Consider the following 20,714-nt stretch of genomic DNA (forward strand, 5'->3'; position numbering starts at 1 on the left):
GTTCCTGTTACCAGAAGAAGAAGGTAGAAGGATGTTGGGCAGCAGAAGCAGCCGATGTTCTCTACAAGGGCTCTTACCTTTGAGGCAAACATATCCAAGCAAAGGGAGGAACCATTGCTAAGCCGTGACGTTCTAGTTCTGCGATACGCCACAACATCTGGCTCACTCCGATACCATGTTTCCCAGTCCTACCCTCTTTGGTGTCAGAAATTAAATGAGCCATGATGACCTGCTTTCTGGTCTGCAGAAAAAGCCTCCTAGTTCCAACTGAAATTTAAATTTAACTTGGTCCCTTGTAGTGAAACAGTACTGCAGGATAGGCACCATATTAATAGTATCAAACTTTTTATTAATGTCATTTCAAATAATATTTTGCATTTTCAATGACTTGGTTATGTGGCACCTTGGGTATAATAATTATTAAATTCTTTCATCTGTTCCAAAGCAAAGGGATGCATTGCTTTGTTTTTCACCCAAAGAATATCAATAACACCACATTATTAATTTTACTGGGGTCCCATGAATCTCAAAGCTTAAAACTTTATTAAAAAGGCACTCACCCTTGCACTTCTTATTCCCTTTTCCACAAATCGAACACAAAAACACATGAGGTGCCAACAGCTAAAACCTTTTGCCAAGATTGGCTTAATGCTTTTAAATGGCCAGAGGCACACTCACACTCTCAGGGTCCAACTTCTAGAGCACCACATTTAATGAACAATGGCTCTTGGAAAACCTCATGCTGGATCCCAGCCGATACTCACAGCTCACAACTTTGCTGTCAAGATGCCAACTGTGCAAGGCTCTAACGAGACTTTCCCAGTGCATCTGGCTCCTCCCAGTTAATAGCTGTCATTCCCACAGGCTCAGCTGGTCCTCAGCAAGTAAGAAGGAGCATCCTCCCCACCAACTGATCCTTTAAATAGCCTTGCCACATTTCCATTGTAAAATATTCACTTTCCTTTCTGTTCTCCTCTCCAACTTCTGGGGAAACAAGTGAGAAACTGCTAAGTGATGCTGCCTCCTCGTTTGCAACTTTGCTATCATCTCCTCCTCAAAGGAAGCCGGTTCAGTCAGTCTTGTGGCAGCAAACATGTCCTTAGGGGCAGGTCTCTATAGCTGTCAATAATGACTATGTTTAGCCAAGTCTTACCAAATGTCATTAATGTTAGGTTTTGTTTTTGTTTTTTTTTTAGAGACAATGTCTCTCTCTGTGTCTCAGGCTGGAGTGCAGTGGCTCAAACACAGCTCACCATAACCTTGAACTTCTGGCTTAAGCACTCCTCCTGCCTCAGCCTCCTAAGTAGCTGGGACTACAGGTGTGTACCACCACACCCAGTTAATTTTTAATTTTAATTTTTTTTTTTTTTTTGTAGAGACAGGGGTCTTGTTGTGTTGCCCAGGTTGGTCTCAAACTCCTGACTTCAAGGGATCTGCCTTGGCCTCTGAAGTGCTGAGATTACAGATGTGAGCCACCACACCCAGCCTAATGTCAGGTTTTTAAGCAAGTATTTGCACCAGTGTTTGAAGAGTGTCTTTTGGAATCTTCCTGAAATTTGCATAAACTAGAACATGGGGTGAGGGTGGCGTGGTTTAAGGAAGAAAGTGGTAATATAGATGTTCCCACTCCAGCCCCTGGCAATACTATATACATCTTTTACTGAATGTAAATTCAACAGGTGCTTGGGTATAAAAGACAGTAAGGATTAGCATGAGAAAGAAATAATGTAATGTAAGTGATTCCACCTATGAAGCCACTTAGTAAAGGCGAGCGTTAGATGGGACTTAGGAATATTCTCAATGGGGCTTAGTTCCTGGATATCTCTCACGGTGTCAGCATTGCACAGTGTAATCACTCTACTATTTAAAGGGAGGCATTTTTCATACAACACGGTCCCTAACCTCAAGACAACTACTTTATCTGGTGCTTAATCTAAGAAACAGAAACAGTGAATTAAGTTTCAACTCCGGACTTAACAAGAGGTGCAATGTCTGACATGGCAACCCAAACGATGTTCAGGGGTTACTTATTACACAGGATTTTTGTCTTTGTGATTTTCTGATCTGATGGTGTCCACTGGGCCAGGGATGGAAAGTAGTTTTCCACTTGAATGCCAAGTCCAGTTGATTGGTAGTGGCTGCCTGGGCATTGCTTCGAGAAGGATTCTAAGGCCCAGTGGGAAAGAGTGCTATGATTGATCAGCAATATCTGCCATAGGCCCAGACGCGGCTGCAGAAGTGTCACCCATTTCTTTCATTGAGAGGGAAATGAGGGTTGTATTGTGTTTTTCCTTTCCAAATATTAGGCATTTGATTTTTTTTCCTCGTGGAGCCAGGGCTAGCTGAGGTTTTTATTCCTGGCCATGTGGGGGAAAAAGGAGTTAGGGGGTCACGGAAAAGCGTCTGTGGCGTTTACTGACCTAGGTCATCCGGCTCAGCACACTTTTTAAAAATACAGTCTCAATTGTAGCTACTTAACTCTGCTGTTGCAGTGGGAAAGCAGCCGAGACAATGCATACTCAAATGGCACAGCTGCGTGCCAATAAAACTTTATTTACAAAACAGGCCATGGCCAACCCCAATCTAGATCGTGAGAGAGATGGGTAGGAATTAATGCATAGATGAAATGGGAAGGTGAAATCAGGGGAAAATTTGTTTCTAGAAAGGAATTTAGGAGCAAACCTGAAAACTCCCTTCTGAAGTGATGAAGAATCCTGAAGTCATGAGGCCTGAAAGGTTCTTTTCAATTAATAGTCTGTAATGCAATCATAAGCTCCTCCACATGCAACCAAGAGGCTGCTGCCTATCAAGTGTGGTTCAAGAGCCAAGTGCCCCCAAAGGCATCATCTTGCTAGTCTGAAAGTTCCGCCAATTGACGCTTTCTCCAGAAAGCCCTTGTTGAAAAGTAAAGCCGTCTCCACAGAACACTTAATCCAATAACCCACCAGCACTTGGAGAACATATTAGTTAAGAGAGAGCAGGACTGTGATGGAGCAGAACGTGGGACCTGTAAGTTTTGAGTGGAAAATGCTGTAAAACAGGAAAATGATATCATAAAAAGGACTCAGGGCTTGTTGCACTGCCTGGGCAGGCAGGGCTTGGTAGGGGGAGTGGGGGGTGGACAATAAACAAGGGCAGCTCTGCTGAGCTGGAGCCAGCAGCATTTGGAGATAGTTGCGTGGAGTCCTGGCAGGGGACCAGAGCCACCTTAGAGCAGGGATGGCGCCAGTGGGAGGAATTTCAAGCAGGGAAGAGTCGACGACTGGAGGGCTCACTCCCAAGTTGCACCTGGGGACCACTGCTTAGAGTGTGTTTTTTAGAGAGGCCAGTGAGAAACTCAGGTTTGAAGTCAGATTCTATCAACCTGGGGTAAAATCCCAGCTCTGCACTTACCCACCTTATAATCTTGGAGGAATTATTTAACCACCTTAAGGCTTGGCTTGGCATCTGTAAAATAGAGAGAAAAACACTTCCATCCTGAGGTTGTTCGTGAGGAATATATGCAGAGTGTCTAAAAGGCCAGTTCTTGGCTCACAGTGAGTTTTCAGGAAAGGGAGCCTGTAGTCATTCCACTACTCAGTCTCAGCAGAAAACTGGCATTGCTTGGTTCAGCACTTCTTTGTGCTGAATGTGTGAATGCAAAAGGGAAGAAGGCAGAGGTTACTAGCGGATTCCGGCTCAGTCTTTACCCTAGAGCTAGATGCCTGAACTTCTCTCTTTGAGTTGGAGAAGCAAATCCACTCGGCTGTTGAGACATTTCCAACAAGAATTCATTTCAATTGGAAACTCATACAACCAGGAGATTCCTAGGCATGGTCCCATTTCTCTGTGTGCACCACAGAAAGCTTACAATGACCCAGTAGAAGGAGTATTAGTGCATCATCTGTCCTCATAAGGCATCAGGAACACAATGAGCTACTTCCCAGTCACCTCTGGACTGCCAAGGGGTTGGCCAGATGGCATAGTGGCCACCAGCATTCACCCTCATTCTTCTAGCTGAGAAAAATCTCGATTTTTATACATTATCCACCCCTCCCTCACACAACCCAGGTGCTAACCTCCACTTCAGGGGAAAACCTAATTGGCATAAACCAATTGGCATGTGAGGGGACCTGGGACAGAAGCCAGTCCAACAGAGGGAATCTCAGGGCTATTGCTTGGAAATCTAGGATAAAGGTACCCTCTCTTCTCTGCATATAGAAAGCTCAGATGTGAGGACTAAACTGCCACAGCCATTCTTGGTACTAAAAAGGAAGAAAATCTGACAACAAAGCCCACATGTGGGGAAAGCAGAGTAGAGAGAATTCAGAGAACACTGGCAGCCTCTTCAACTGCACTTGAAGTTAGAACCCTTCAGGTTCTCAGTTACATGAGCCAATAAGCAGCTCTTATGGTTTAAGCTGGTCTGAAATGGGGTTTCTCCTGGTCATATGGGTTCTTCCACTTTCAGGATCCTCAGAACCCCCAGCAATGCCAACAAGAACTCCACCCTTTCCTCAAATGGCTCAGATTTCCTGACAACAAACACAATTTCCTAGTGCACAGAACAGACCCCTGGCTTGCTTCCCTCAGACTGTGAAGCAAAAGGACAAAGTAACAAAGGTTAACTTTCGTTGGTACCTTCCTCTCTGAGCCCATCTCTTGCTCCTGACTATTCCTCTCCTTCAGGACACTCGGGCCAATTTCAAGTTCCAAAAGCAGGTCCGATATCAGCTCTGAAATTCCACTAAGTCTCCAGATACTACTGGCACTCCTGTGCCTAAGAGTGAGTGTGTGAATGCAGGGGTAAGCGTGTGAATATCTGCGTGAGTGTAATGGATAAGTGTAAATGTAGGAATGCGTGTGTGAGTATGAGTATGAGGGTGAGCATGTCTGTGCATGAGCGAGTGTGAATATGTGTGTGAGTACGTGAGTGTATGTGAGTGTATGAACGTGTATGTAGTTTGCAAGACCTGTACAAGCTGTTTCTGGAAAAGTGCTCCACCTAGGGGCAGACTGTCAAACTGATGCCCTCTGATGGCACAGGCATGGCCCAGAAACGGCCATTGAGAGGAAGGAAGGAAAATAGAATATTTTACCTACGGGTTCAGCATCTTCTCTTAATAAAAGTAATGCCTGAAAGGTTATGGAACAAGGGAAAAAAAGAAATATATAAATAAATAAATAAATAAATATATATATATATATATATATATATATATATATATATATATATATATTTGAGACAGGGTCTTGCTCTGTTGCCCAGGCTGGAATCTGGAGGTATGATGACAGCTCATTGCAGCCTCTGACTCCTGGGCTCAAGGAATCCTCCCATCTCAGGTCTCAAGAACAATATTTTTAATTACAATGGAAAACACTACTTTAAACAAATTGAAGTTTGAAAATTTGTACCTGGCCTATAGAAGAGGGGCTGTAAGCCATAAGGGGTCAGCCAAGTGAAATCCATGAGTCCCATGGGCCGTATTCTCCTGTGGCAAACTAGAGATGGCATCCCTGATTGAAGTGGGGACACCGCCATTCAGCCCTGAATGGTGCCAAGTGATAATGATGGCCCAGTGGTGCCAAAACTCTGATTTAAAAACAAAACACATCAGAACAATTTATCCAGATTTGTACCTGAACTATCCTAATTTTCTACATGGTGGCTACTAATTCATATGGTATTCTAACTGTAAGTCACCAATTTGCAACTAATGCTGTCCATTCTCTGTTGTTTCTCAAAATTGAAGAAGGTTTAAGTTAGGACTCTTTTAAATTTTCATTGTCCTGAGAGTATTTACAAATATGACTCAACTCACAAAAATACAATTAACCACCCACACTTCAGTCTGAAGCAAGGTACACCTGGATGATTATAAATGTATCTAGGCAATACAATTTAAACCTGGGATAGAGAGGGAGAAGCTGACAGCATTGAGTTTCTGAGTTATGTTTTTCATCCTACAGGATATGAATCACCCCAGGCTCCATCCTTCAGCAGGGTAAATCTCTTTGTCAGAAGCATGAGGAATCAGAAATGTTCTGTCTCCCGACTTCATAAAAATATTTCACTAATGAACAAAGTCTCCAGTTCCAAAGCTGACCCTGATCTCCTGTCTAGGGAAACTTTTAAGAAGTTCATCGAATAAAGTAGTGAGTAATTTACAATATCCTGGATAACTGCCTAGGGACGTGGTTATAATATAATTCACATTGGGATTCCAGTTAATGATATAGCCTCCAATCTAGTTTCACCACGCACTTCTTAAAGTGGAAGATTTCCGAGGTCCTTGCTTTTGAACAATTATCTATATCAAATCAGAACAAACTCCTGACTGAGTGATTTTTAAGTTTTATTGTTCTGAAGCCCAATTGCAAAAATAAGTGGCTGAGTGTTCAGAAATACAGCAGGAATATTACCCACTTGCTAATCTAGCTAGAAATTGCATTTCTTTCTAGATGACAGTAAAAACAGGTAACATTTATTGAGTGCTCACTATGTGCCAAGCACTACTTTCAGCACTTTTCATCTATAAATTTATTAATGTGCTCAAAAACCCTAGGAGGTGGGTCCATTTATTATGCCCATTTATCAAATAAGGCAGAGAGGGATTAAGAAAATTATACAAGGTCTTCCAGTTGGTAGCTGGTAGAGCCAGGTTTGAACCCAGGAATTCTGGCCCCACAACCCAAGCTAACTGCTTTACAAGACTGAGATGCAGATTCAATAGACCTTTTGAATTAGAATAGAAGAAAGATAAACTGAGGACACTTGATGTCACAGGAAAAGGGTGCCTGGAAATCAACAGTTGTTACTGGAGTCAGACTATGTGGTGGACTGGTCAACTTTCAGAAGTCTGATTTTATTTTACTGATTGCTATTCTTTTGATAACCCTAAAGTTAGTGAGAGCAGAGGGGACCGAAAGTAGGTAGAAGCAGGAGGAAGAAGAGATAAAGGTGGAATATGGGCTGCTTCAAGTATCCAAGGGAAGTAAGACAGTCACTTGCTCAAAGTTCTTCCCTGTAGAGGCCAAAGAGAATTTCATTTGGCTGAGTTTCTGTTTAAAACACAAATGGCTGTATTGTAACATAATGCACATTTACAAAGCATTCATTCTTTCCTACCCATTAATTTACTTAGGTTATCTAAGAGATGCAGAACTTGAATGAGCGAAAAGACTAATTTCAAGTTTTACCATTGGAAAGGGTTAATTCGTCATGTTGAGTGCTAAAGCTGGGGCCTCTGAGTGGATGAATGGGCAGTCAGAGGAGACCTAAGAGAATTCCAATGAGAAGCTCCACTTTTTTTTTTTTTTTTTTTTTTTTTTTTTGAGACGAGAAGCTCCACTTTGTTCCCAGTTCCTTGAAGTTGGGTGGGAAGCTTCACACGCACCAGGCATGAAATCAAACCTTCTCTGTGGTTACCTATTATCACCGATGGGTCTCTGAGTTATCATGGTTTCCTCTTTTGTCCCACTGCTGTAGTCTATTCATACCTCTATTGCAGTAATTCCATTGTCTATGATAATGGTTCATTGCTATACTCTTGATACGCAGCACAGTGCCTAATGTATAGTAGGCATAAGAGTCAGGTTTGTTGAACGACGGGATTAAAGATGCTCAACTAGACTAACACATAAAACTAGTCATTAATATGGATGAAAGTAATCATTAGTATTTATTGAGCATGAATGAGCCAAGTGCTTACATGTATTATAACTTCATTTAATCTCTCAATGACTCTATAATGTAGGCATTATCCTGATTATCTCCATTTTACAGTTAAAGAAACGAGGCACAGAGTAGTGATTTCCTCAAGGTCACTTAGCCTGGACTTGACCCCAGGCCGTCTTGATGTTAGAGCCAGATCTATAAACCTTGAACTGTATCTCTCCCTTTATTTTACTGTCCTGACTGAATGCAATTAGGCACACTAAATGTTCTTACTAATTCTTCTCAAATACTTTCCCACTATAGTGCCTCTCTCAGAACGGTACCTGCCCATAGTCACAAATCACAGTAACCCCATTTCATAACCAGGCTCCCTCAAATGTCATTAAATCCTAGCAGTGGCTTTAAGATAGAAATAAATATGCAAGATGCTTGAATTAGCAAGGTTTCCCATTTTCCTCTTTCCCTAGCTTTAGAGTTTGACTTGATTGCCTCATTAATCTCAAGGGAATGTGACGCATTCACCACACGTCCAAAAGATGTGCAGCGTTTCACAAAGCAGCAGAATGAAGACAATACAACCCTGCATCTCCTATGCCGGGAGCTGCAGAGAAGTGCGGGCAAGAAGAAAATGGTGTAAACGGCTCCTACGTGTTTCTCAGAGATGTAAGAAAAAAGTGGAGAGAAATTTCTATTTGCTTATTTTCTTTTGTTTACATTAATGTCATTCCATGCCTTTGGGGATTTGGAACCTTCTGGAATTTCTCGATTCTGGGATGTTTTGTTGAATTTCATTTATTCTTACTAAGGATGATGCTGGCTTGGAGAAAAGACGTGCATATGGCATGTTCCTCAAAACACATATGTTCCCATCTCCAGAAGGAAACTAGAAAATATCATACAGCTGCATTTCATCTATAGGGAGAGAGTGCTTCTAGAGGAGAAAAGTGGTTGCAGGTAACAGATGCCTGCCTGAATAAAATCATAAGAGCTTGCACAAAACACACAATACCTACTTCAAAAGACCTCAAACAGGAAATAATCAAGGTGCTGCTTTAACAGTGGAGAGATACACACTAGGACAAGACTGTCCGTCAAGCAGATGAGTAGCACAGATCAGACATGGGGAAGGAAAAAAACCACAAAAACAGTTCTGCACTAAAAGTATGCTTCCCCTCGCTTTTTACAAATCTATACTATGTGGCTAGAAACCATGCATCATGTAAGAGATGGTTCTTCTTTTCAGCGAAGGAAAATAATGCTTCTTTTTAATTAGAAGGTGTTCCTTCGATGAACATGTTGTGGTCCAGGGGCAGAAAAAGTCAATGGTAATCTTAGGGCGTGATCCGCCTGCCTTGGCCTCCCAAAGTGCTGGGATTAGGGTTGAATCAATAGATGCTGTTTATTGCTCCAGGTGAGCAGTGCCATCAGGTTGACGTAAAGCACATTTCGAGGGGCTGCATTTCAACACTATCATGAGAGCTGCATGAGGTCAAGGGTGTGCCCAGAAAGCAGGCCCAGCCTGTGCAGGTAACTGCGTAGGGCGTACCCAGAAGTGCAGGTAGCTGTGTTGTCCTCCAGGGACTCCCATGAGGAACTCTCTAACCTTGGCTTCTATTGTACTTATGTTGAGACTCACAGCGAACAAGCTGTTTTTTTTTTTTTTTTTTTTTTGAGATGGAGTCTCGCTCTGTCACCTAGGCTGGAGTGCAGTAGCGAGATCTCGGCTCACTGCAACCTCCGCCTCCCGGGTTCAAACGATTCTCCTGCCTCAGCCTCCTGAGTAGCTGGGATTACAGGTGTGCACCGCCACACCTGGCTAATGTTTGTATTTTTAGTGGAGATGGGGTTTCACTATGTTGGTCAGGCTGGTGTCTAACTCCTGACCTCGTGATCTACCCGCCTTGGCCTCCCAAAGTGCTGGGATTACAGGCATGAGCGACTGTGCCCGGCCAGCTTACAAACTTTTTAAGGCATTGACCACTGCCCAGTGAAAAGAAAGAAATAGTCAACATCTATATTTTGTGAACAGGCAACAATATGAGTGAATCCATCAAATGGAGATAAAGCCCCATACTGACTTCTCAAGGCTGGGCACCCACCTCTAAAAGGATGCAGAGTCACAAGATACTATGGATTGGGGAGCAGATCCATGCCCCCAGTTCTTTCATTTCAACCATATGCCCCAAGAGTCTTCTATGTCTGTGGTCAAGCCCCATCTACCTCTCCCTTGCCCCTTGTCCTACGCCCCCTCTTCCCCCTCTGCCCTCTAACACACTACAATATCTGGCTGCATGGCCACTGCACACCCTGTTGCCTCCATATGGAACCCTCAGCCTCTTCTCCCTTTTCCTGGTTAGGTGCTACTCAGTCTTCAACTCTCAGCTAAAGAGTCATGTCCAGGAGGAAGCTGTCCCTGATTCCCTCAGCCTAGGCCAGGTTCTTCTGATAAGTAACTTCTTAGAACAGCAATTATTTTCTTTGACTTACTTTAGTCTGCAATTATGCATTTATTAATGGGACTATTTAATTTTGATCTTTTCCATGGGGCTGTGGGGTTTTGAGAGCTGGAAACTACTTTGTCTGCTTTTGGTCTCTATTGTTTCTCCATCCTTCATGGCACATTGTAGGGCTCAAGGAATGTTTGTTGAATAAAGAAATACTCAGTGTATTCGGTTAACACATTAAGGACCAGATAAAAGACAGTAGTACTGGCTATTATTCATCTTTTATTCTCTATGAAATTAATCATTTATTCAAGATGAAAACTAGACTCCCCTGCTGAATAAAGTGCCCTGTCCTCTGAGTTAGAAAGATTAAATATTAAAAGTTTTATATAGGGGAACCACTTTTTGCTTTGACTGCCAGGGCATACCAAGTAGCTCAAAGCTAAATTTTGGGCCTGCCCTTAATAACAGGTACTGTTTTGCACGTGGTTCTGAGTAATGCATTTCTAAATAAGCATCCCCAAAGATGCAAAGCAGGTATTCTCAGCTGCTGAAAGCTGACATACAGAAAGAAAAAGCAGGTGTTCCAAGGATCTTTCTGGGAGAAATTGCTTTATTAAAAATTTTTTTGTAGAGACAGGGTCTCACTCTGTTGCCCAGGCTAGAATGCAATGGCTATTCACAGGCACCCACAATAAACTGCATCCTTGAATTTCTGGACTCAAGTGATCCTCTCACTTTGGCCTCCAAAGTAGCTGGGGCTACAGGTGTGTGCCACTGCACCCAGCTGAGAATATAAATTATAAGTTAGATTGCAACCCACTGAATCTGGCCAAATTGTCTTCAGGCTCAAAAACCTCAAATGCAAACCTGTTCTTTTTTTTTAAATTATTATACTTTAAGTTCTGGGATACACGTGCAGAATGTGCAGGTTTGTTACATAGGTATATATGTGCCATGGTGGTTTGCTGCACCCATCAACCCATCATCTAGGTTTTAAGCCCTGCATGTATTAGGTGTTTCTCCTAATGCTATCCATCCCCTTGCCCCCAACCTCCCGATAGGCCCAGGTGTGTGATGTTCCCTTCCCTGTGTCCAGGTGTTCTCATTGTTCAGCTCCTACTTATGAGTGAGAACATGTGGTGTTTGGTTTTCTGTTCCTGTGTTAGTTTGCTGAGAATGATGTTTTCCAGCTTCATCCATGTCCCTGCAAAGGACATGAACTCATTCTTTTTTATGGCTGCATAGTATTCCATCATGTATATATGCCACATTTTCTTTATCCAGTCTATCAGTGATGGGCATTTGGGTTGGTTCCGAGTCTTTGCTATTGTAAATGGTGCTGCAACAAACATATGTGTGCATGTGTCTTTATAGTAGAATGATTTATAATCCTATGGGTATATACCTGGTAATGGGATTGCTGGACCAAATGGTGTTTCTAGTTCTAGATCCTTGAGGAATTGCCACACTGTCTTCCACAATGGTCGAACTAATTTGCATTCCCACCAACAGTGTAAAAGGGCTCCTATTTCTCCACATCCTCTCCAGCATCTGTTGTTTCCTGACTTTTTAACGATCACCATTCTAACTGGTGTGAGATGGTATCTCATTGTGGTTTTGATTTGCATTTCTCTAATGACCAGTGACGATGAGCTTTTTTTTCATATGTTTGTTGGCTGCATAAATGTCTTCTTTTGAGAAGTGTCTGTTCATATCCTTCACCCACTTTTTGATGGGGTTGTTTTTATCTTGTAAATTTAAGTTCTTTGTAGATTCTGGATATTAGGCCTTTGTCAGATAGATAGATTGCAAAATTTTTCTCCCATTCTGTAGGTTGCCTGTTTACTCTGATGATAGTTTCTTTTGCTGTGCAGAAGCTCTTTAGTTTAATTAGATCCCGTTTGTCAATTTTGGCTTTTGTTGCCATTGCTTTTGGTGTTTTAGTCACGAAGTCTTTGCCCATGATTGTGTCCTGAATGTATTGCCTAGGGCAAACCTGATTCTATTATAAAGCAGACACTATCGCCATTATATTAATTTCATCTGGCTACCGTGACAAATTACCATAGCTGATGGCTTAAAATGGCCGAAATTTATCTCACAGTTCTGGAGGTCAGAAATCCAAAATCAGTTTCACTGGGCTGAAATCAAGGTTTCAGCAGAGCCATACTTCCTCCAGAGGTTGTAGGGGTGAATCATTCCTTTCATCTTCCAGCTCTTAGTGGCTGCCAGTATTGCTTGACTTGTGGCCACATCACTCTAATCTCTGCTCTCTCTCTTTACATCTCTTTCTCCTCTGTGTGTCTCTCTAGCCTCCCTTTGCCTTTCTTTCACAGGGGTCTTGTGATGGTATGAAGGGCCCATACAGATAATCTAGAATAATTTTTTCATCTCAAGAAACTTAACCACATCTGCAAAGTCTTTGATGTATATATATGGTAACATTTACAGGTTCCAGGGATTACAATCTAATATCTTTGGGGCAATTATTTAACCTACTGAGGCCATCTTTTTCATCTCTAAAATGTATACACACAGGCATATGCTCATACATTATAACTAATAACACATGTTTACCAAAAATATACACGGTGTACATAGAACAATTTTATTAATCCTTAAACATTACTACTCTGAATTGGGCTTAGAGCATTTGGTAGGAGGGTCGATGTGGTATAGTAGGCAGAAATCTAACATGGGCCCTATGACCTCCACACCCTGTGTAATCCCCTTCCCTTGAGTGTAGCCAGGGCTTGTATCTGCTTCTAGCCAAGAGAAGATGGCAAAGATGATGGGGTGTCACTCCTCTGATTAACTCACATTATATGCCCAAGGTGATGGGTTATCAACCCACAATGACTCCATCTTAGCAGATTAGAGCGAAAGACGTTCTCTTGCTGTCTTTGAAGAGCAAAATTCCATGTTGTTGGCATGTTGTGGAGGGGGCCACATGTCAGGGAACTGCAGGTGGCTTCCAGAAGCTGGGGACCTCAGTCCTACAACTGTAAAGAACTGAATCCTGCCAAAAGCCAGTGAGCCTGGAAGGGAACGTAGAGCCTCAGACAAGATCCTAGCTCTGGCCAACATCTTAATTTCAGCCTGGTAAGAAACTGAGCAGAGGACCCAGTTAAGTTGTGCCCAGACTCCTGGCCCATAGCAACTATGTGTGTGTGTGTGTGTGTGTATAACACACACACATATATAATTACATATATACATATATGTTGTTTAAGCTGCTAAATTTGTGGTAATTTGTTATGCAGCAATAAAAAACTAATACTCTTGGTTTGCAAAGTGTTTATTATCAAGATATAAGGTAGAGAATGAATAAGCACAGATAACCAAAATGAAGAGAATCAACTGCACCAAATGGCCAGATAGCAAAGTGCACTGGGAAGAAAATGTAGGTTGCATATGTGAAATGGTTGACAGCCAGCAAATGGATTTACATTAACTAGGAAATATATGGGAAATAGGTTTGGGGGAAACTTAGAAGTGAAAAGGGGTGAGTTTTCACCTAACTATTTCAGTTACAGGAGTAGAAATCCAACTGAAACTGACCAAAGCAAGTATGAATGAATAAATTCAATGAAGATGAATATGGAGAGTTTATTGGCTCACATACCTGATCAGCCCAGACGTATCTGGCTTCAGGCACCAATGCCCTGAAATCTGTCTCTCTCTAGCTCTCAGCTCCCTTTCCTCAGTATTGATCTCATGCTCAGGCAGCCTCTTCCAGTGGAGCCAGAGGTGGCCACTCATAGGTCCAGGCTTATATTCGGCTCATTGAGCAACCCGTTGTGGAAAGTGAGATTCTCTTTCCCAATAATTCCAGCAAGACTCCCTCAGTTATCCTTCACTGGCTCACTGGCTAGACCTGAGTCATCTGTCTAAACTTGATACCAAAAAGGGGCAGGAGAGCAAAGCTACCCAAGCCCAAAGGAAAACTGGGACTCTCTTACCAGAATGGGGATTGGATACTGTGCAGGCAAAAATCACAGGTGCCCATGACATAGGATGCAGTATGGTAGAAGTGCATGGATGGCAACTCCACATTTGGGAAAAGGATGGAAGAGGCCTTGTAAAGTCAAGAACCAAATAACCAAGCAGTAAATGGAAGTTCCTATGCAGCATACACAGAGAAGAACTTGCAGACTGAGATACAGGAAGAGATGTTTGGGTTTAAAATGGGTCAAGGTGTTTGTTTCTTTGTTTGAGATGGAGTTTTGCCCTGTCGCCCAGGCTGGAGTGCAATGGCACAATCTTGGCTCACTGCAACCTCTGTCTCCCAGGTTCAAGTGATTCTCCTGCCTCAGCCTCCGGAGTAGCTGGGATTACAGGCACCCACCACCACGCCCAGCTAATTTTTGTACTTTCAGTGGAGACAGGGTTTCACCATGTTGGCCAGGCTGCTCTTGAAATCCTGACCTCAGGTGATCCATCTGCCTTGGCCTCCCAAAGTGCTGGGATTACAGGCATGAGCCACTGTGCCTGGCCAGGTCAAGGTGTTTGATCTGCTGGGGTTGATAAGCAAAATAATCCCTGGGAAAAATCTCAGAAGGGGCGTGGCTTGATTAAACTGGCAGAATCGCTTTCTAGCAACAGGTGTAACTTGTATGAAAAGGGATATCAAAAAAAAAAAAAAACAACCAAAACAACCCTACATTCTTTTCACCTATGGAACAATCATATGTCTCAGGTGCCATGGTTTCTACCTTACCTTCATGATCAGATTTATTTCTCACCAATAGCCCTACAAAGTAAGCGTTTTAACACTTGAAAAAATTCAGGCTCAGGAGGTTAAGTGATTTTCCCCAGGTCACTGACCTAGCAACTGGCAGAACAAGGACTCAAATTCAGGTGAATGTGTCTCCGGAGTCACTATGCTAAACCCCCTATTTCTGAATTAGAGATGTTCGGGTTTCAAATGGGTCAAGATGTTTGATCTGCTGGGGTTGGTAAACAAGATTATCCCTGTAAGGACTTTAGGCACCTGAACGGGACATGAGAATGGAGAAATGCACAATAATATGTAACATTCATACTGTGAAACACTATTTCAAAGCCTCCTGTGTGGATTTAAGTGGGTAGTCTACTTTTACTCTGGCCTAAGATTTAATTGGCTAGGATATCAGAAGAAGCCAAAAGCCCTTTGGAAAAAGAAAGGTGGATCCAAAAGAGCAGAGGAACTGTATGAAGCAAAGATGCCAGGGAGGATAAATGACCAACAATATGTTACCAGATGCGCCCTCCCTGAGAACACTGGACTTGGCAAGGGTAAACAATAAGAGAGGAAGTCAGGGACGGAGAGGGCCAGGGAAAGTTCAGGCCTCCCTCCCTCCCACGCCCTCACTCCCCATTGTGGCTCACACTGAGTCAGCCCAGATGGGAAGAAGGCAGAGACCTCACCCACCCAGTGTCCACCCTACCCATGGCCTGGAAATAAGTGAGGATGAGATTTGTGAGGGCAGCTTAGATACACCCAGGTGCTACTTGGTCCCCCTTTTCCTCCACCCTCACACAGCCCCAGAGGTGCCAGTAGTCAGATCTCTGGGAGACAGTATACCAGCCAGGCCCTTGAATTCTGGTGCCAGCTCTAGTATTAATTACCGGATGACTTTGCATAAGGCACTTTGTGTCTCTGGGCTTTTATTTCCCGTATGAAGAGTCATCTGAGGTTGAATTAGATTAGGGATTGTACATGCAAGTGCCAACAGAGGCCAGGCAGGCAATGAAAATGTAGCAGGCTGGGTACAGGATGACAGGGAACAGTGGGGACTGGAGAGCACATGTTTTGTCCAGTGAGGGCATTCCCAGTGTCTCCAGATGCTCCAATTTTTCCTGGGAAGCCACAATTCAGACTTTTACATAAAGTCTCCCAATCTTTAAGTGTTGGCAACAAATCAAGCCTGCAGAGCAGTTGGCAATCTTGAGTCTAGATGTGCCTTGTCCCATAAGCTAGTCACTAGCCACATGTGACTATTTCATCTTAAATTAATTAAAATTAAACAAAAATTAAAAATTCACTTCCTCAGTCACAACAGCCACCTTTCAACTGCTCAATAGCCACAGGTATTAGTGGCTACCATATTGGATAACACAGATCTGAAACATGTCCAGCTTTGTAGAAAATTCTCTTGGATAGCCCTGGCCTAAGTGATGTCTAAGATAACTTTCAGCTAGTAAAACAAAAAATAAAGACAAAATGAAACAAAGGTTACTTTCTTAATTGATAGGAAACAACGCTACTGGAATTTCGTGGCATAACCATAACACAAAAATATTGGTGTCATTATTTTATTTTCACTCTGATGAGTTCCCTTCAGTTGCATTTAAATTGGTTTCTGCAGATCTGTTAATAGAAGCAGCCTGATACTTTCTAATCTGCTTCAACACACAAAGTACATTCATAGGGATTTGAAATCTAAACTTATATTAAAAGGAGAGGGGCCGGGCGTGGTGGCCCATGCCTGTAATCCCAGCACTTTGGGAGGCTGAGGAGGGCAGACCACTTGAGGTCAGAAGATCGAGGCCATTCTGGCTAACACATGGTGAAACCCCGTCTCCACTAAAAATACAAAAAATTAGCTGGGCGTGGTGGCATGTGCCTGTAGTCCCAGCTACTCGGGAGGCTGAGGCAGGAAAATTGCTTGAACCCGGGAGGTTGTAGTGCGTTGAGATCATGCCACTGCACTCCAGCCTGAGCAACAGAGCGAGACTCTGAAAAAAAAAAAAAAAGAAGAGAAAAGGAGAGGGGGCAGGGAAGAGAGAAACCCTATTTTACTTCTAGTACTTACCCCTCCCCTGCTAGGTGAGATATCACTTCCATACAGAGCTTTTAACTGCCTGTGCAAGAGCCTCCATTGTGACAAGCTGCAATGTTTTAGGTCAGTAGTCACCAAACTTTTCTATAAAGGACCAGACAGTAAATATTTTCAGCTCTGTGGGCTATATGATCACTATGGCAATTATTCATTTCTGCCTTATTACATGAAAGCAGCTATCAACAATATGTAAGCAAATGCGCATGGCTTTGTTCCAATAAAACTTTATCTGTGGACGCCAAAATTTGAATTTTGTATAAGTTTCATGTGTCAAATAGTTACTTGATTTCCCATACAACCATTTAAAAATGAAAAAGGAAAAAAAAAACATTCTTAGCTCAGGACGGTAGCAAAACAGGCAGTGTGCTGAATTTGGCCCACAGGCAGTAGCTTGCAGACCCCTATGTCCTGAAAGTTCTCTGATGGAGAGACTGCTGAACTGTAGGGCAGGGATTGCTGAGCTCTGACTTATATATATGACTCACTGGGCATGAGTCCCATGTAAGTTGTATAGTTAGCCAATGTTGTTCAGGAATGAAGGGAAGGACCATAAGGGCCCTTTTTTGTGAGACAAATTTATTGATATAGTCAGTCCTCATTATTTACAAAATTCAAACTTGCCTACTGGTTAGAATTCATTCATAACTCCAAAATCAATACTCAAGGTACTTTTTTGAAAAATAGAGACAGGATCTCGCTCTGTTGCCCAGGCTGTAGTGCAGTGGCACAATCATAGCCCACTGCAGCCTCAAACTCCTGGGCTCAAGTGATCCTCCCGCCTTGGCCTCCCAAAGCGCTGCAATTACAGGCATGAGCCACCACACTTAGCCTTTGCTCGAGGTATTTTTGCAATCATTCTCTGACTTGTGGGGAACAGCAAAAAATTTGAGTCACCCAATGCTCCTGTTCTCAGCTGAGATATAACAAAATAAAGCGCTGCCCTCTTGTTTCAGTTCATGTTAGGTACACACGTCCCTTTCAGAGTCTATGTAGCAACCTGTTTTACACATGTTGGTGCTTTTGGTTGGTGATTTTGCTGTTTAAAATGCCCCCTAAGCATAGTGCTGAACTGCTAAATTAGCTGTGGTATGAATGTTTGTGTATTTCCAAAATTAATAGTTTGAAGCTTAATCACCCGTGTCAGAATGATAGGAGATAGGGCCTCTGGGACATGATTAGGTCATGAGAACACAGTCCTCATGAACGGGATTAGTGCCCTCATGAAAGAGGCCCCAGAGAGCTGCCTTACCCCTTCTACCAAGTGAAGACACAATGAGAAGGTGCCATTTATGAACCAGAAAGTGGACCCTTATCAGGGTCTACCAAATCAAGTGGACTGTCAAGTGGTATTAGCAGGACCCTCATCCATTGACACTGAATGGCCTGGTGTCTTCATGGTGAATTTCCCAGGCTCCAGAACTGTGAGAAATACATTTCTGTTGTTTATAAGCTACCCAGCTTATGGTATTTCGTAACAGCAGCCCAAATGGACAAAGTTCCTAAGTGGAAGGCAGCTGCAATGTCCTTGTTAAAAAAAAATAATGTCTTAGATAAGCTTCATTCAAACATGAATTATAGTACTTTTGATATGAGTTCAATGTTAATGAATCAACTACATATATTAAATAATGTGTCTTTAAACAGAAACACACTTAAAACAAGGTTATGTACTGACTGGCTGATGAGAATGTTGTGACGAGGTTTATAGCAGCATAACTTATTTCCCCCTAGGTGTGATGTTTCAGTATTTGCTAATTTGGTGTTCATGATGCCTTTACTGAATATAACTACCTCAAATAATGAGAACTGACTGTATACTGACACTAAAAGGACAAGGTCTCACTCTGTCACCCAGGCTGGAGTGCAGTGGTGTGATCATGGCTCACTGCAGCATCGAACTCCTGGACTCAAGCGATCTTCCCGCTTTGGCCTCCCAAAGAGATAGGATTACAGGTGAAAGCCACAGCACAGCCAGGATTGTATTATTAAGGCACATGTGCCTTAGTCTGTCACTTCTGAGTGGTTTCTCTCTTAGCTTACTAATATAAGAAGCAAATCCACAGACAAAGAGGGATGGGAATAAGCAATTTTCATAAGAAACACAAACAGCCAATAAATATACAAAAATCCTTCACTGATAGTCGGAAATAAATATTAAACAAATGAGATATTTTTTCTCCTATTAGATTGGCAGAAACAGAATTACTTTTATAAGACAAAAGAATTGAGGTAAGATATATGTTGACTACCTTAAATCCCAATATGGGATTTAAATAAAAAAGCAACTTCTTTAAAAATTCAAAGATGAATTTAAAATTTGCTTAGGAAGGTAATTCTGAAGCTGATTTCAAGAGGCAAAGCTAAAATAATGAATGTAAGATTCTAAATAACAAGTTATATAGATGTAATATAGAAAAATCACAGGTGCTGTTGACCTTATCTTTAGCCTTTGGTAATTAGGACTTGAACTATAACAGCCTTTTATTTCTACCTACCCGCAACCCTCTGCTTTTATGTACTTTACCTCTGCTTACTTCTCTGCAGCCAGACAGTGACTTAGGCAAATAGGAAGGTAGGTGATGTGCTATTAGTGTTTTAAAAGGCTTTCATCTCTTCCATGGTTTTTCATGGTGTTATTATCTCTTATCAGTAGTTAATTTATATAGTATTTCCATGATGCCTTCTTAACAATATCCAGTGTATTAGCGTCACCTCCTTCTTACACAGTAAATTCATTTCAACACTGCATTGGCCAGAAAGGACATGCAGTAAATGTTAATCAATTCTATTGCCATAAGAAACGTGCATGGAGTTAAAGTTCACAAGAAACAGAAGCTAGAGAACTAACAGCAAAGTGGAACTTGCTGCTCATTAGTTCACGAACACACTCCCCAAAAGTGAAGAGAGACACTCTCACCTGAAACTAGTGCTAGAAGTAGTTATCCTGTTCACACAGCACACCCTACTGCCCATGGGGGAAAGTTCACTTCCAATGCACAACTGAGAAATTAAATATGGACCCTGCTGGCCAGCCTCCACCTAAATCTCATCTCTAATCGATCTGCAATTCAATAACATGCATGTCTTCTTTTGCCCCTACCTTTCGTGATGGCTTCAGCTGAAACATAAAAGGGCTTTAAAAGATTAATAGTTCCATCTTGATGCCAGGTGAAGTAAATTCCCAATTCATTCAATCCTCACTGTGATGTTTTGCACTTGGTACAAAGTAGATGCACAATAATGTTTTATAAAAGCACCACAATAAGATAGGTATTATTTTTATCTTTTTTTTCAGAAGACTTAAAAGGATTAATTAGTAACTCTCCAAAGATCCCAAAGCCCAAGTAAGTGGGGGAGCCAAGAGTTGAACCTCATCTAACTCCAGAGCGTATGCTTAATGACTACACTATATTACCCTCTTATTCTTTAATGCTAAAATAAGCTTTCAGCATTAAAAAGAAATGAACCGTCAGGTGATAATTAGTTTCAAAGTCTACCATAACAGGTTAGGCCTTTTAATAGCTTTAATACCACAGCTTTTGCTAAAGATTGATCAAGAACACAGGCCATTTCCTAAATACCTCACACAAAGGCAACTCTAAGCAAGTGCTAATTTTAAAACAGGGCATATGCCATGTTATCAATAGGAATCCAAAGTTAAACAACAGAATGGGCTAAGTGTGGAGCTTCTGGCATATGCTGGGATGTAACAGCCCTTCTCTTTAAATCAGGTGTTGCACCCATATAGTTTGCTAAGGATAAGGTATGAATAAGGAAATGCTGGGG

General features: G+C 42.1%; 1 protein-coding gene across 5 annotated transcripts in view, besides 2 other annotated features; it reads right to left on the reverse strand.

Moving 5' to 3' along the window:
- Window positions 1–20,714, reverse strand: part of FRMD4B (FERM domain containing 4B) — a 373,805-nt gene that overhangs the window by 236,774 nt on the left and 116,317 nt on the right. The window lies entirely within an intron of this gene.
- Window positions 15,121–15,622: an enhancer, noted in NCBI's record as "H3K27ac hESC enhancer chr3:69469827-69470328 (GRCh37/hg19 assembly coordinates)". NCBI's record gives its function as "activates a minimal SCP1, AML or CMV promoter by ChIP-STARR-seq in primed H9 embryonic stem cells {active_cell/tissue: H9 hESC(primed)}" and the evidence as "EXISTENCE:reporter gene assay evidence [ECO:0000049][PMID:30033119]".
- Window positions 15,623–16,122: an enhancer, noted in NCBI's record as "H3K27ac hESC enhancer chr3:69470329-69470828 (GRCh37/hg19 assembly coordinates)". NCBI's record gives its function as "activates a minimal SCP1, AML or CMV promoter by ChIP-STARR-seq in naive H9 embryonic stem cells {active_cell/tissue: H9 hESC(naive)}" and the evidence as "EXISTENCE:reporter gene assay evidence [ECO:0000049][PMID:30033119]".

This window comes from Homo sapiens, chromosome 3, assembly GCF_000001405.40.
Source record: "Homo sapiens chromosome 3, GRCh38.p14 Primary Assembly".
Lineage (NCBI taxonomy): Eukaryota > Metazoa > Chordata > Mammalia > Primates > Hominidae > Homo > Homo sapiens.